Genomic DNA, 16,582 nt, shown 5'->3' with positions numbered 1-16,582 from the left:
GGTGGTACAGTATGGCAATCAGAAACCTCACATTTTTTTTTTTTGAGACAGTCTGGTTCTGTCACCCAGGCTGGAGTGCAGTGGCGCAATCTTGTCTTACTGCAAACTCCACCTCCTGGGTTCCAATGATTCTCCTGCCTCAGTCTCCCAAGTAGCTGGGATTACAGGCATGCATCACCATGCCCAGCTAGTTTTTGTATTTTTAGTAGAGATGGGGTTTCACCATGTTGGCTGGTCTTGAACTCTTGACCTCCCGAAGTGCTGGGATTACAGGCATGAGCCACCGCACCCAGCCAAAACCTCACTGATTTCTAAAATTTCCACAATAGGCTATACAAATACACTACGGTACCAAAAAAGGATCAGGAGAGCACTTACTTACCTCAGAATGTCACGTAATCCCCACAATTAATTGAGTAATTTGGTTTTATTAGATACCCAAAGTAGTATGAAACTTGAATTACAGGCCGGGTATGGTGGCTCATGCCTGTAGTCTTAACACTTTGGGAAGCTGGGATGGGCGGATCACTTGAGCTCAGGAATTTGAGACCAGCCTGGGCAACATAGCGAAACCCTGTCTCTACAAAAAAATTAGCTGGGTATGGTGGTGTGTGCCTGTAGTCCCAGCTACTCTAAAGGCTGAGGTGGGAGAATTACCTGAGCCTGAGAGGTGGAGACTGCAGTGAGCTGTGATTGTACCACTGCACTCCAGGCTGGGTGACACAGCAAGACCCTGTCTGAAAAATAAACCAAGAAACTTGATTTATAGAAGGCCCTAATTCTATTGTCTTTTCTCCACTTTACCAATTGCTACATCATATTTAATGTGACTTGTCCTTAATGTCATTTCAAAACATTCTTCATTTATATTTTATGACTGGCTAGGGTCCATTATCCAAGGATTATAAAAGATGTTTGGAACCCAGCCAAGGGAGGCCAGGCAGCAAGCTGAAGTATAATGCATCTGTCCTAAACTCAGACTGGCCACAACCAAAACAGCTCTATAGGGACTCAGAAGTGCAGGCTGTAATATTACAAAATGGCAAAGACAATGAGATTCTCTATTCCGTTAATTATTACAAAATGGCAAAGACAATGAGATTCTCTATTCCGTACTGTATATGCCTTACTTTTGCGTTACCAGTTTAATGTAATATAATATGAAATACCTTGTTGCCTCTTGAACCTTACCACGAAAGTGTTCCTTTGAGCCTTAAGAATAAACCAGCTGGCTGGGCGCGGTGGCTCACGCCAGTAATCCCAGCACTTTGGGAGACTGAGGTGGGCAGATCACCTGAGGTTGGGAGTTTGAGACTAGCCTGACCAACATGGAGAAACCCCATCTCTACTTAAAATACAAAAAATTAGCCAGGTGTGGTGGCACATGCCTGTAATCACAGCTACTCAGGAGGGTGAGGCAGGAGAATTGCTTGAACCTGGGAGGTGGAGGTTGTGGTGAGCCAAGATCATGCCATTGCACTCCAGCCTGGGCAACAAAAGCGAAACTCTGTCTCAAAAAATAAAATAAAATAAAATAAACCAGCTCTGGCCAGGCACAGTGGCTCAGACCTGTAATCCTAGCACTTTGGGAGGCTGAGGTGGGCAGATCACCTGAGGTTAGGAGTTCAAGACCAGCCTGGCCAACATGTGAAACCTTGTCTCTACTAAAAATACAAAAAAGTAGCCGGGCGTAGTGGCGGGCGCCTGTAGTCCCAGCTACTTGGGAGGCTGAGGCAGGAGAATGGCGTGAACCCGGGAGGTGGAGCTTGCAGTGAGCCGAGGTCCCGCCACTGCACTCCAGCCTGGGCGACAGAGCGAGACTCCATCTCAAAAAAAAAAAAAAAAAAAAAAAAATAATAATAATAATAATAATAATAATTGCCCTCTCAGAGTGGTTTTGTAACTACTACTACTACCATTTACTATCCATTAAAGCAGGATAGTTTTAATTCCACAGAAAAGCCAATAAGCAGAAATGTGTCACGCTCCCTTTGTTTCTCTTAAGATTTCTGACCCTACCAGCCCTGAAGGAGATTACCTCAAAGTAAGAACTTGACACATTCGAGGCCAGGCACGGTGGCTCACGCCTGTAATCCCAGCACTTTGGGAGGCTGAGGCGGGTGGATCACGAGGTCAGGAGATCGAGACCATCCTGGCTAACATGGTGAAACCCTGTGTCTACTGAAAATACAAAAAATTAGCTGGGTGTGGTGGCGGGTGCCTATAGTCCCAGCTACTCGGGAGGCTGAGGCAGGAGAATGGCTTGAACCTGGGAGGCAGAGCTTGCAGTGAGTGGAGATCGTGCCACTGCACTCTAGCCTGGGCAACAGAGAGAGACTCCGTCTCAAAAAAAAAGAAAAAAAAGAACTTGACATGTTCAAGAAAATTATGACTACAGGGAAGATTCTGCAGTAAATGCTAGTGGAATGGGACAGGAAAAAGATGAGACCCAGATCAAGCACTTCCTCTTGAGAAATACAGATACCTCTTTCAGGTGTAAATTGCAGGCATTCTGCTAGCCATTCAATGTCTTTGATATCTCAGGCCCGTCAAGGACCAATCTTTTGTTTTTTGAGACAGAGTCTCACTCTGTTGCCCAGGCTGGAGTGCAGTGGCACGATCTTGGCTCACTGCAACCTCCACCTCCCGGGTTCAAGCCTCTACACCCAGCTATAGGAGTGCGCCACCACACCCAACTAATTTTTGTATTTTTAGTAGAGACAGGATTTCATCATGTTGGCCCGGCTGATCTCCAACTCCTGACCTCAGGTGATCTGCCAGCCTCAGCCTCCCAAAGTGCTGGGATTACAGGCATGAGCCACCGCACCTGACCAAGGACTAATCTTGATGCTTAATTAGCACCACTCCACTTGGTCCCTTTATCCACATCAGGCACAATAAACCAAGAGGGGCTGTTATAAACACTTATTCAATGGGCTGAATTGGACCTGTAACACTAAACAGCAGCCTAGACCTTCACTGTGGAAACAGAAATAACTAATGCCAATTTCTTTTCAACTTGGACACTGACTTGAAGCTCAAATGCTAATTTCTGCGAAAAAACACAACCAAAGAAAGTAACTCTCAGCTCATGACCAATCTAAATTTAAGTTATTTATTTAAGCCATCTCCTGCCACAAGCAAAGGGATGGGAGACCAGTATACCAGTCATCATTTGATACAAGTAAAGAAGGTGAGCTTAAGGTCCCATATACTTTTTCTGGTCCATGTGCAGAGTAACGGTCCAAACCAGTGCTGTGGTCCCTGGTGCCCGGGTAGTGGTCCAGATTCTCTTTATTCATCTTCGTAGCCAGTTGGAAGTGGATTCACATGAGGGTTATGGAATAGAGTATGGTTACCATCTCCCCAGGGAAACGGCTGTGGAGTGAAGATGTCAGTTAGATAATTCCAGAAAATAATTTAGAAAGAACACCGTCATGAACTGCTTATAACGGGGTGACAGATCATATATAAAAACAAAATGGAAATTAGTCCTTTATCTACTGGTGTAGTTCAACCTTCCCATTATTTAAGGAGCTCTTATAACTACCAGGGGAGCCCTTAAAGTTATCCTGGCTACAGGACAGTTTTAATTCCAGAAACAAATATGGATGGCAGAAAATGCAAGCTCAAGTTAGTTACTCATCATCCTCTCCCTAGTAACTAGTATATCCAGTGCTGTGTTTATGAAAGTGTAATCCTCAAATCACCTATATCAAAATGGTGGCAGTATTAGGGGAGGGAGATGCTTAATTAAATGCAGATTTCTGGCACCATCCCAGACTTCAAACAATATCTGGGCTGGGAAACTGCAGCCCACCCTGAATTATCTTGCCTATTACCTTTGAAAAGCATTACTTTAGGGCAACGGTCTCCAACCCAGGGTGATTTTGCCCCTTCAGGGCACACTGGGTAGTATCGGGAGACACTGTGATGGGGGCGGGGGAGGGGGAAGCGGGAGTGGGGTTGCGCAGGTACTACTGCCACCTAGTGGGTACAGGCCAAGGATATGGCTAAACATTTCACAATGCACAAGATAGCCCCCCAACAAGAATTACCCAGCCCCAAATGTCAACAGTGCTGAGGCTGAGAAACCTTTACTGTTTGGCTTCTAATTGCATTGTACAAGGATGGGAGTGCCGCTCAAAGACTCAACAAATTCAAGAGTCTAGGTTAAGTTTCTACAAGGCCAGTCCTATATGGGCTAGGTGATGTAATAATAATAATAATAATAATAACTTTTTTCATCACTTCTCGGCCTTTTGGCTAAGATCAAGTATATTATTACTATTTTTTTTTGAGACGGAGTTTCACTCCTGTTGCCCAGGCTGCAGTGCAATGGCTGGATCTTGGCTCACTGCAACCTCCTCCTCCTGGGTTCAACCTCCTAGATTCTCCCACCGCAGCCTCCCGAGTAGCTGGGATTACAGGCGCCCGCCACCACGCCCGGCTACTTTTTGTACTTTTAGTAGAGATAGTGTTTCGCCATGTTGACGAGGCTGGTCTTGAACTCCTGACCTCCGGCGATCCACCCACCTTGGCCTCCCAAAGTGCTGGGATTACAGGCGTGAGCCACCGCGCATGGCCAGTATTGAAGAATCAGAATAAGCCCTTGTTAAAGATACAGCAAACAACAGAGGACACAACATTGTAATATATCTACATCAACAACCAATGATAAAACAGTCGAGAAAAGGTATTGGTGGGGAATAGAGAAAGCTGTCAGTCTCTTCATTATGCAACTAGTAGCTGCCAGATGCCCATGTTTTGTTGTTGCTGTTTTGTTTTGTTTTGAGACCAGAGTCTCGCTCTGTTGCCCAGGCCGGAGTGCAGTGGCACGATCTCAGCTCCCTGCAAACTCCGCCTCCTAGGTTCAAGGGATTCTCCTGCTTCAGCCTCCCATGTAGCTGCTGGGTTCGCTTACGCGAACCACCTTCAGACTTTGCCACTCTAATTGGATTTCCCAAACCTCCAGGCTTTACACAACGGACACCTGTTTCAGAACTGTCTCAGAAGTAAAAAAAAAAAAAAAAAAAAAAAAAAGAACTGTCTCAGAAGGCAGGAGGTAGGATGAATCGGAGAAAAGGGAAACTGAAGAGCACTTATTGTATGACCTTGAAGAAGAGAATTGAGACGTAATCCCAAGTGTCAGCTGTCCATCCACAAAATGGAAGAAAATACATTTTCTGTTTGTGAGGATAAACAAGCTGTACACGCCTGGCACCCATGCCTTCAGAGAATGAAGAACTTGCACTAAGGCACACATAACGAAAAGAGAACGGACGCTTGAAGAGATGTACAAGGGCGTACCTTGGTCCTGATGCGGAGATGGGGGTAGGCGATGAACTCGGGTCTCTCGTGCTCTCCGTGGTGCGACTTCAGGTACACATTCAGCATGCTGACTGCCACCCCGGGGAGCGCGACGAAGAAGGTGAGAGTCTTCCACATGCGAGCTGCGGAGAAGCCACAAACGTTCAGCGCCGGTATGGGGCGGGCCCGGGTCTCACTTTCCCTCCCGCAAGGCCTCGGGCCAAGGTCACAGTCCCTCCCTGTCTCGCCCGAGTGGGGCTGAGGCTCGACCCGTCGACCCCGGCCCCAGTACCTGAGCCCTCTTCGCCATGGGCGCCACTCGACATAGGCCGCCCCAGCTGTGGGCGGGACCGACCCAGCAGCCGAGAAACCGAGGACACACCAACTACCGCCATTTTTGATCTGGACTGCCGCAGCGCCGGAAGCGGAAGTGGAAAATTGGCTCTGGGGGCGGTACTACAACCTCCAAAGGAAGTTACTATTGGGCGCCGCCCTCCCACTGGCATTAACCTGAGCACTATCATCCGGGACGACGGAGTCCTTGTCAAAATCCTCGGCATCTCGGGCAAGAGAGAGCATGCGCTCTGCACCTCCCTTCAGGCTTTACCGTTTCCTTCGTGCGCATGCGTGTGCCCTCCGGTCTCCCTACCGTCCCCACCTGGGCGAGGCGGAAGCTCAAGAGAGGTTTGTGCAGGGTGCCCTGGTACCTGGAATCGCTCCCTTCGTTGGAGTCCATGGACGGGCATCTGGAGGTTCTGATCCCAGACCGCCCTATCTAAAATTCCGTTCCCCTTCCTCGCCATCCTCCGACTGCGTTTTCTCATAGCACATAACATTGCACCTTCGTCGTTATATTATTATTTTGTCTGTCTCCCCCACTAGAATATAAAGTCTGTGATACCAAGAGTTTGGCACTGCAGCATTCTCAGAATAATCTGGGAATGGTGTAATTTGGAATCATACCTGGCACATACCAGATACTTGATATAAATTTGCTGAATGAATGGATGAATGAATGAATAGCAACAGAAAGTATAAAGAGCACTGAAATTGGTGCCAGCAGACCTGGATCCTAATCCTGACTCAACAGTCTCATCTTTTTTTTTTTTTTTTTTTTTTTTTTTTTTGAGACGGAGTTTGACTCTTGTTGCTTAGGCTGGAGTGCAGCGGTGCAATCTTGGCTCACTGCAACCTCTGCATCCCAGGTTCAAGCAGTTCTACTGCCTCAGCCTCCTGAATAGCTGGGATTACAGGCACGCACCACCATGCCTGGCTAATTTTTTTTTTTGTACTTTGGTAGAGACAGGGTTTCACCATATTGGCCAGGATGGTCTCCATCTCCTGACCTTGTGATCCGCCTTCCTCGGCCTCCCAAAGTGCTGGGATTACAGGCGTGAGCCACTGTGCCCGGCCTTTTTTTTTTTTTTTTTTTTTTTTTTCAATAGGCCCCTTTGAGAATGTAATGAGGACCAGCGTGGTGGCTCATGGCTGTAATCCCAACACTTTGAGAGGCCGAGGCGGACAGATTGCTTGAGCTTGAGAGTTTGAGACCAGCCTGGGCAACAAAGCTTTTTTCTTTATTAGAAAAAAAAAGAATCTAATGAAAGCTTTGAACCCTTTCCTCTAAAGACACACCTATGTGTAAACACACAGTATAGCACACATTGTTGGGAGAATAGGTGACCATAAAATATATTTGGAAACCCTCTAAGCATCTTTATGCCTCAGATCAAGAGCTCCTGGGGGCTGCATGTAGTGGCTCATGCCTGTAATCCTAGCACTTTGGGAGTCCGAGGTGAGTGGATCACCTGAGTTCAGGAGTTCGAGACCAGCCTGACCAACATAGTGAAACCCCATCTCTACTAAAAATACAAAATGAGCCGGGCATGGTGGTACATGCCTGTAATCCCAGCTACTTGGGAGGCTGAGGCAGGAGAATCGCTTGAACCCAGGAGGCAGAGGTTGCAGTGAGCTGAGATTGCACCATTGCACTCCAATCTGGGCAACAAGAGTTGAACTCCCATCTCAAAACAAAACAAAAAAAAGGCCGGCACTGTGGCTCACGCCTGTAATCCCAGCACTTTGGGAGGCGGAGACAGGTGGGTCACTTGAGGTCAGGAGTTCGAGACCAGCCTGGCCAACATGGTGAAACGCCGTCTCCACTAAAAATACAAAAATTATTCGGCGTCGTGGCGCAAGCCTGTAGTCCCAGCTACATGGGAGGCTGAAGCAAGAGAATCTCTTGAACCTAGGAGGTGGAGTTTGCAGTGAACTGAGATCATGCCACTGCACTCCAGCCTGGGCGACACAGCGAGACTCTGGTCTCAAAACAACAACAGCAACAAAAAAGTCCGGGTAGGAGAACAAACAGGGACTCTAGTGTGAGAAGGCTGGGCTCACATCTTGTTCCCTTACAGCCTGTGTGGCCTTGGGCAGGTTAGCTGAAACCGATGCCTTAAGGTCATGCAGTTTCATGAAGACAAAACCTTAGGATCATATTACTAGAGCTTTACTACCTGATTTAGCATGAAATCTTTCTCGAGTAGCCTAAGTTTTTATACTTCAGGGTGCAATCAAGATCATCAAATCTGTCAAACACGTCCTCAAACACAGCCAAAGGGTATATGAGGCCCCACACTGGGGCCATACAAAGGGTCTAAGCTAGCCGGGCTTGCTTGTAGTCCTAGCTACTTGAGAGGCTGAGGCCAGAGGATCCGTTAAGCCCAGGAGTTCAAGTCCAGCTTGGGCAACATAGCAAGACACCATCTCTAAAAAAAAAAGAAAAAGAAAGTGTTCAAGACAGGGATCAGGAACTCCTGGGTTCAAATCTCTGGTTTGCCACCAGCTATGCTTCCTCTTCTCTACAATAGGAATGTAATAATGTAATATGCATTTATTCATTCCTTTGTATAACAAATTTTTTTTTTGAGATGGAGTCTTGCTCTGTCACCCAAGCTGGAGTGTGGTGGCACAATCTTGGCTCACTGCAACCTCCACCTCCTGGGTTCAAGCAATTCTCCTGCCTCAGCCTCCCGAGTAGCTGGGATTACAGGCGTGCGCCACCACACGCGGCTAATTTGTGAATTTTTTAGTAGAGATGGGGCTTCACCACGTTGGCCAGGCTGGTCTCAAACTCCTGACCTCAAGTGATTCACCTGCCTCGGCCTCCCAAAGTGCTGGGATTACAAGCATGAGCCACTGCACCTAACAAGCATCCTGAGTAGTTAGGACTACAAGTGCACACCACCTCATCCAGCTAATTTTTTTTTTTTTAGAGACGGGGTCTTACTATGTTGCTCAGGCTGATCTCAAACTCCTGAGTTTAAGCGATCCTCCCACCTCAGCCTCTCAAAGTTCTGGAATTACAGGTGTCGGCCACTGTTCCTGACCCAGAGCCAGAATTTAAATCTAGAAGTCTGGCCCCAAAGCCTCCATGTTTAACCACTCTGAGATACTGCACTCTTAGCACAGTGCCTGGCACAAAATGAGTGCTCAATAATTGTTAACTGTTAGAATTGTCTTGATCTAGTCCAGGTGCGATGGCTCATGCCTGTAATCCCAGCACTTTGGGAGGCCGAGGCAGGTGGATCACCTGAGGTCAGGAGTTCGAGACCAGCCTGGCCAATATGGTGAAACCCTGTCTCTACTAAAAATACAAAAATTAGCCGGGCGTGATGGTGGGCACCTGTAATCCCAGCTACTTGGAAGGCTGAGGCAGGAGAATCGCTTGAACCTGGGAGGTGGAGGTTGCAGTGAGCAGAGATCGTGCCATTGCACTCCAGCCTGGGTGACAAGAGTGAAACTCTGTCTCAAAAAAAAAAAAAACAAGGAATTATCTTGATCTGTTGAAACAAAACTACTTCAAGTTGGAACTAGTCTTAAATTTTTTGACCATAAAAGAAAAAAAAACAAAGAATTGTCTTGATCGAGGTGGTACAGGGTCAATAGAAGAGGATCAAAATGGCATTTGGCTTTGGAGGGGCAGTCAGTCTGCCCTCCTGTAGGATATGACATCTAAGTCACCTACCCTCAAATAAATGAGTGAGTCAGAGACAAGTTTGGGCTGGGATGGAAAGAGTTTTCCAGAAAGATATCTTTCCAAAAGATACCACCAGAGAGGCTGGGTGCAGTGGCTCATGACTGTAATCCCAGCACTTCGGGAGGCCAAGGCAGGCGGATCACCTGAGGTCAGGAGTTTCAGACCAGCCTGGCCAACATGACAAAACCCCGTCTCTACTAAAAATACAAAAATTAGCTGGGTGTGCTGACACACACCTGTAATCCCAGCTACTTGGGAAGCTGAGGCATGAGAATCGCTTGAACCCAGGAGGCAGAGCTTGCAGTGAGACATGATTGCACTACTGCACTCCAGCCTGGGCAACAGAGGAGACTCTGTCAAAAAAAAAAAAAAAAAAAAAAAGGCCAGGCGCTGTGACTCACACCTGTAATCCCAGCACTTTGGGAGGCTGAGGCGGGTGGATCACCTGAGGTCAGGAGTTCTAGACCAGCCTGGCCAACATGGTAAAACCCCGTCTCTACTAAAAATACAAAAAAAAAAAAAAATTAGCCAGACGTGGTGGCAGACATCTGTAATCCCAACTGCTTGGGAGGCTGAGGCAGGAGAATCTCTTGACCTGGGAGGCAGAGGTTGCAGTGAGCCAAGATCACGCCATTGCACTCCAGCCTGGACGACAAGAGTGAAACACCGTCTTAAAAAAAAATTAGCCAGGTGTGGTGGCGGGCACCTATAATCCCAGCTACCTGGGAGGCTGAAGCACAAGAATCACTTGAACCTGGGAGGTGGAGGTTGCAGTGAGCCAAGATCCAGCCTGGGCGACAGAGCCAGACTCCGTCTCAAAAAAAAAAAAAAAGATTTCTGACTGAAGTGCACCTAGAGGTTTGCATAGAAGGCATAGAAGGCTGGGTGTCAGGGTTGGTTTCCTTGCAGTGGGAGGGGGCGGTCCAGCTGGGGTAGGCTGAATAGCGTAGCTGTGCAGGTTAGAACACTGGATTTAGACCTTGAGCCACCCAGGTTTGAGCCTTGGCCCTAGCCCTTCCTGCTAGGAAGACCTAGAGCAATCTGCTTTACTCTGAGCCTTTCTTTCTTCATTCATAAATGGGGCTAATAACTGGATCTTCCAGAGATGTTGTGAGCTTAAATGTGTCAATGTAGGTAGAAAGCCTGACACGTGGGGGCGGGTGTGCACAGTGATAGCTATTACTTATTTCTGTGTTCCTACCCCCACCTCTCAACCTTCTGCCGAGCTAGATTGTCAGCTTTAGAGGGCAGACCCCCAGTATCATCTATCTCTGTGACCCCATAGAATTTGGTGCTCAGTTATTTTTCCTTACTGGTCCCTGTTGATGCTCATACACTCGTCTACACCCGAGGTTCTGCTTAGGCCAGCCCCACGTGGTTCCCCACCTCTGTCTGCACACATCACACTCGGTTCTCACCTCTTCCAGGAAGCCTTTCCTGGTTACATCCTGACCCTGGCCTCTGGTCCCCCAGTGATGTTCAGCCCACTGTACCTCTTATGATGACTATTCCACTTCCTCATTCCACTTCAGGCCCCAGGAGACCCCCTAACCTTTTTTTTTTTTTTTTAAGACAGAGTCTTGCTCTGTCACCCAGGCTGTAGTGTAGTGACACGATCTCGACTCACTACAACCTCCGCCTCCTGGGTTCAAGCAATTCTCCTGCCTCAGCCTTCTGAGTAGCTGGAATTACAGGCATCTGCCACCACACCCGGCTAATTTTTGTATTTTTAGTAGAGATGGGGTTTCACCACGTTGGCCAGGCTGGTCTCGAACTCCTGACCTCAGGTGATCTGCCCACCTCGGCCTCCCAAAGTGCTGGGATTACAGGCGTGAGCCACTGCGCCCGGCCAGGAGACCCCTTTTTTTTTCGGATTCCTCTAAATTCTCTCAATGCCTGGCACAGGCCAGGCATAACAAAATGGTTAAGAACTCAGGTTCTCAGACAAAGCTGGATTTAAGTCCACCTCTGGCTGGGTGAGGTGGCTCACACCTATAGTCTCAGCACTTTGGGAGGCTGAGATAGGAGGATCACTTGAACCCTGGAGTTCAAGACCAACCTAGGCAACATGGCGAACCCCTATCTCTACAAAAAATACAGAAATTAGCTGGGCATGGTGATGCCTGCCTGTAATCTCAGCTACTTGCGAGGCTGAGGTGGAGGATTGCTTGAGTCCAGGAAGTAGAGGTTGCAGTGAGCCAAGGTCATGCCACTGCACTCCATCCTGGGCAACAGAGTGAGACCCTATCTTTTTTTTTTTTTTTGAGACGGAGTCTCACTCTGTCACCCAGGCTGGAGTGCAGTGGCACAATCTCAGCTCACTGCAACCTCTGCCTCCCTGGTTCACGCGATTCTCCTGCCTCAGCCTCCCGAGTGGCTGGGATTACAGGCACCCGCCAACTTGCCTGGCTAATTTTTGTATTTTTAGTAGAGACGGGGTTTCACCATCTTGGCCAGGCTGGTCTCGAACTCCTGACCTCGTGATCCACCTGCCTCGGCCTCCCAAAATGCTGGGATTACAGGCGTGAGCCACCACACCCAGCCAAAACCCTATCTTAAAATATAAAAATAAATCCAGGTTCTGCTGCTATTGCTGGACAAGTAATTTTATGCTTCAGTTTCTTCATCTGCAGAATGAGGAAAATAATAGTACCTACTGTTAGGGTTTTTGGGAGAACTGAACATGATGATGTGTGTAAAGCACTTAGCACTTTCCTCAACCTATAGCAGTGATTTGTGTTATATTATTATTAATAAACCACTATTACATTAAGTTTAAAACAAAGCAGATATATTGTATGTGAAAAGGTGGTATATTGGAATGTATTGATATCGGTCCCTCTTACATTATATCTCAATAAAGCTGTTAAAAACAAGAAAGCAGGCTACAAAATATTAAATGTATACTTCTATTTTTGTAAAACACACGACAATTCCGTAAGGGCTACACTCACATGTTGACAGAAGTTATGTCTGGGCTTTAAATTTTCTTTTTAAATTTTCTACCATGAACGTATAGTACTTGTATTATAAGAACAAAAGCTTTCATCAAAAAGCAGATTATAAAGTTGCTATAGGCTAGGCGTGGTGGCTCATGCCTGTAATCAGAACATTTTGGGAGGCTGAGGCAGGAGGATTGCTTGATTCCAGGACTTTAAGACCAGCCTGGGCAACATAGGGAGATCCCATCTCTATTAAAAAAAAAAAAAGTTTTTTCTTGCATTGCTGTAAAGAAATTTTAAAAAGGTCAGGCATGGTGACTCACACCTGGAATCCCAGCACTTTAGGAGGCCGAGGTGGGTGGATCACCTGAGGTCAGGAGCTCGATACCAGCCTGTGACTAATATGATGAAACCCTGTCTCTACTAAAAACACAAAAATTGGCCTGGCGCCGTGGTTCACGCCTCTCATCCCAGCACTTTGGGAGGCCGAGTCGGGTGGATCACGAGGTCAGGAGATGAGACCATCCTGGCTAACACGGTGAAACCCCGTCTCTACTAAAAATACAAAAAAACTATCCCGGCGTGGTGGCGGGCGCCTGTAGTCCCAGCTACTCAGTAGGCTGAGAAGAATCGCTTGAGCCCGGGAGGCGGAGGTTGCAGTGAGCCGAGATTGCGCCATTGTACTCCAGCCTGGGCAGCAAGAGCGAAACTCCGTCTCAAAAAAAAAAAAAAAAGTTTTAATCAAGTCGCTAGCGGCACTTCCGTTGCTGGTATTAGTTCCATTAGATTGTAAGCCACATGAGGGCAGGGACCCCTTCTGCCTGGAACAGAAAAGGCGCTCAGTGAACATTTACAGCAAAGCCACCGGGTGGGGCGACTCTTGACACCCGCGTCTGCAGTACCGCTCTCGCCCAGTGGGTGGCAGGCTCCGCATGTGCGGGCGCCGCCCACGAGCCTGGCCAGAGGAGTCACGCCCGCCACCTTATACGTGGCTGTCTGGTCTCAGGATCCTTGGAGGAGGAGGGGAGGTGGAGCTTGTGCGAGGGCTGGAGAGGACCCTTCCTGGGCCTCAAGGACTCCTTTTTTTTTTTTTTTTTTTTTTTTAATAATTTCTTTAGAGACAGGGTCTCTGTCGCCCAGGCTGGAGTTCAGTGGCGCCAGGTTAGTGATCGCTTTGAGAGAAAGACCTCGGCCAGGCGCAGAGTGGCTCACGCCTGTAATCCCAGCACTTTGGGAGGCCGAGGCGGGCGGATCACCTGACGTCAGGAGTTCAAGACCAGCCTGGCCCACATGGCGAAACCCTGTCTCTACTAAAAATACAAAAATTAAACGGGCTTGGTGGCACATGCCTGTAATCCCAGCTACTCGGGAGGCTGAGGCAGGAGAATCGCTTGAACCTGGGAGGCAGTTCTGCTCAGTCTCTTGAGTAGCTGGGGTTACAGGCATCCGCCACCATGCCCAGCTAATTTTGGTATTTTTAGTAGAGACCGGGTTTCACCATGTTGGCCAGGCTTGTCTGGAATTCCTGACCTCAGGTGATCCGCCTGCCTCGGCCTCCCAAAGTGCTAGGATTACAGGTGTGAGCCACCACGCCCGGCCAAGTTTTGTATTTTTTGTAGAGATGGGGTTTCACCATGTTGCCCAGGCTGGTCTCAAACTCCTGAATTCAAGTGATCCTCCTGCCTCAGCTTCCCAAAGTGTTGGGATTACAAGTGTGAGCCAGGTTGCCTGGCCAGGAGATCCTTCTAAAGTATAATCTGCCTATCCCACCATCCCTGTTTGAAACCCTGTTGCCCCCAGGATAGAACTCAAACTACTTACTCTGACCTCCAAGGTGCTAAGGAATACCATCGCTGCCTATCTCCACCATTATCCCTAGGGACACCACATCCATCCTCCGAGCTAGGCTTCCTTCTGTTTCTGAAATGTGCCAAGCCCCTTCCAACCTCAGGACCTTCGCTCGGGCGGTTCCCTGTCCCAGGACTGCTCTTCCCCCTCCCCCATTAACTTCTAAGTCGCCTGGGAAAAGCTTCACGAGAGCAGGGAGCTTGTCTGTCTTGCTGACTCCTATATCCCAACACCAAACACAGTACCTGACACAAACAAAGTGCTTACTTTTTTTTTTTTTCCTGAGATAGAGTCTCAGTCTGTCACCCAGGCTGGAGTGCAGTGGCCCAATCTTGGCTCACTGCAATCTCTGTCTCCTGAGTTCAAGCAATTCTCCTGCCTCAGCCTCCCTAGTAGCTGGGATTACAGGCATGTGCCACTACACCCAGCTTTATACATATATATATGTATCATCAAAAAAATATATATATATACACACACACATACATATACACACAAGTCAATTCTGCTTCTTTAAATTTTGACACAATGTCTGGACTCTTACAGTGCAATATAACAGGTCATGAATTATGAATTCTGTTTTTATCTAGCAGATTCATGTGCTCCACAGCTATTTTCTAAACTCCACCCAGGCAATCACCACAGTCCTGTCTGCATTTCCCACGACAGTCTGCAGAGTAATAACAAACACTAATTGTTCTTAACTTTTTTTTAAAGCCAGGCGTGGTGGCTCACGCCTGTAATTCCAGCACTTTCAGAGGCTGAGGTGAAAGGATTGCTTGAACCCAGGTGTTCAAGACCAGCCTGGGCAACAAAGTGAGACTCCCATCTCTACAAAAAACAAAAAAATTAGCAGGGCGTGGTGGTGAGTGCCTATAAACTCAGCTACTCAGTGGGAGGTTGAGGTGGGAGGATAATTTGAGCCCAGGAGGTCAAAGCTGCAGTGAGCACCACTGCACTCCACCATGGGGGACAGAGTGAGACCCTGTCTCAAAAAATCATTTTGGCGGGGTGCAGTGGCTCACGCCTGTAATCCCAGCATTTTGGGAGGCTGAGGCAGGTGGATCACCTGAGGTCGGGAGTTCGAGACCAGCCTGACCAGTGTGGAAAAACCCTGTCTCTACTAAAAATACAAAATTAGCTGGGTGTGGTGGCACATGCCTGTAATCCCAGCTACTAGGGAGGCTGAGGCAGAAGAATTGCTTGAACCTGGGAGGCGGAGGTTGCGGTAAGCTGAGATCATGCCATTGCACTCCAGCCTGGGCAACAAAAGCGAAACTCCATCTCAAATAATAATAATAATAATAATTTATTATTTTTAAAAATTCTTTTTATTTATTATTTTTTTGAGATGGAGTCTTACTCTGTCACCCAGGCTGGAGTGCACTGGTGTGATCTCTACTAAAAATACAAAAATTAGCTGGGTGTGCCGGGCATGGTGGCTCACGCCTGTAATCCCAGCACTTTGGGAGGCTGAGGTGGGCGGATCACGAGGTCAGGAGATCGAGACCATTCTGGCTAACATGGTGAAACCCCGTCTCTACTAAAACTACAAATAATTAGATGGGTGTGGTGGCATGCGCCTGTAGTCCCAGCTACTCGGGAGGCTGAGGCAGGAGAATTGCTTGAACCCGGGAGGTGGAGGTTGCAGTGAGCCGAGATCACGCTGTACCACTGCACTCCAGCCTGGGAGACAGAGTGAGACTGTTTCAAAAACAAACAAAAAATAGATTATAAATTCCACGAGAGCATTTAGCTTATTTAGCTTGTCTTTGTTGTTGTTGTATCCCCAACACTTTGCACAGTTTTTGGGACATAACTGATAAAATGACAATACTTAACATTTTCTGAGGTCTCACTGTGCATCAGGTGCTCTTCCAAAGATTTCATAAAAGGCTGGGGGCAGTGGCTCACACCCGTAATTCCAGCATTTTGGGAGGCTGAGGCGGGTGGATCACTTGAGCCCAGGAGTTCAAGATCAGCCTGGGCAATGTGGCAAAACCTCCTATCAAAAAAATTAGCACGGAATGGTGGTGTGAGCCTGTAGTTCCGGCTACTTGGGAGGCTGAGGCAGGCAGGAGGGTCACTTGAGCCCAGCAGGCAGAGGCTGCAGTGATCTTAGATCCTAAGAAGATTTCATAAGAAAATTCAAGGGTGGGAGTTGAGAGGAGGATAAGCAATTAGTTAATGGGTACAATGTATGGTACTTGGGCCATGGATACCCTAAATGCCCTGCCTTGAGCACTAGGCAACCTATGGAAGTAACAAAATTACACATGCGCCCCATAAACTTCTACAAATAAAAAACATGGGTGAAGCCAGGTGGCTCACACCTGTAATCCCAACACTTTGACAGGCCAAAGTGGGAGGATTGCTTGAGGCCAGGAGTTCGAGACCAGCCTCGGTGACACAGATCAAGCCCCTATCTCTACAAAAATAAAAG

At 47.8% G+C, this 16,582-nt stretch overlaps 1 protein-coding gene and 1 pseudogene across 1 annotated transcript, besides 4 other annotated features; one reads left to right on the top strand and one right to left on the bottom strand.

Moving 5' to 3' along the window:
* On the bottom strand, positions 3,102 to 5,719 carry COX6A1 (cytochrome c oxidase subunit 6A1). Its single transcript, NM_004373.4, has 3 exons — positions 5,603 to 5,719; positions 5,311 to 5,453; positions 3,102 to 3,378 (listed from the first exon to the last, which is right to left on the bottom strand). Exons 1-3 carry the CDS (start codon positions 5,703 to 5,705, stop codon positions 3,295 to 3,297), a joined length of 330 nt encoding a protein of 109 aa, NP_004364.2. The 5' UTR covers positions 5,706 to 5,719; the 3' UTR covers positions 3,102 to 3,294.
* LOC124903126 (uncharacterized) lies at positions 4,247 to 4,389 on the top strand (annotated as a pseudogene).
* Positions 5,025 to 5,546: an enhancer, noted in NCBI's record as "H3K27ac-H3K4me1 hESC enhancer chr12:120876089-120876610 (GRCh37/hg19 assembly coordinates)". NCBI's record gives its function as "activates a minimal SCP1, AML or CMV promoter by ChIP-STARR-seq in naive H9 embryonic stem cells {active_cell/tissue: H9 hESC(naive)}" and the evidence as "EXISTENCE:reporter gene assay evidence [ECO:0000049][PMID:30033119]".
* Positions 5,025 to 5,682: a biological region, named in NCBI's record as "H3K27ac-H3K4me1 hESC enhancer GRCh37_chr12:120876089-120876610".
* Positions 5,473 to 5,682: an enhancer, noted in NCBI's record as "active region_7143". NCBI's record gives its function as "activates an Ori minimal core promoter by ATAC-STARR-seq in GM12878 lymphoblastoid cells {active_cell/tissue: GM12878}" and the evidence as "EXISTENCE:reporter gene assay evidence [ECO:0000049][PMID:35858748]".
* Positions 10,140 to 10,340: a silencer, noted in NCBI's record as "peak2007 fragment used in MPRA reporter construct". NCBI's record gives its function as "represses an SCP1 promoter by STARR-seq MPRAs in K562 erythroleukemia cells {active_cell/tissue: K562}" and the evidence as "EXISTENCE:reporter gene assay evidence [ECO:0000049][PMID:32103011]".

This window comes from Homo sapiens, chromosome 12 (assembly GCF_000001405.40).
Source record: "Homo sapiens chromosome 12, GRCh38.p14 Primary Assembly".
NCBI classification, from domain to species: domain Eukaryota; kingdom Metazoa; phylum Chordata; class Mammalia; order Primates; family Hominidae; genus Homo; species Homo sapiens.
Note: the sequence above shows the minus strand (reverse complement) of the source record. Positions and strands in the feature narration are given on the sequence as shown.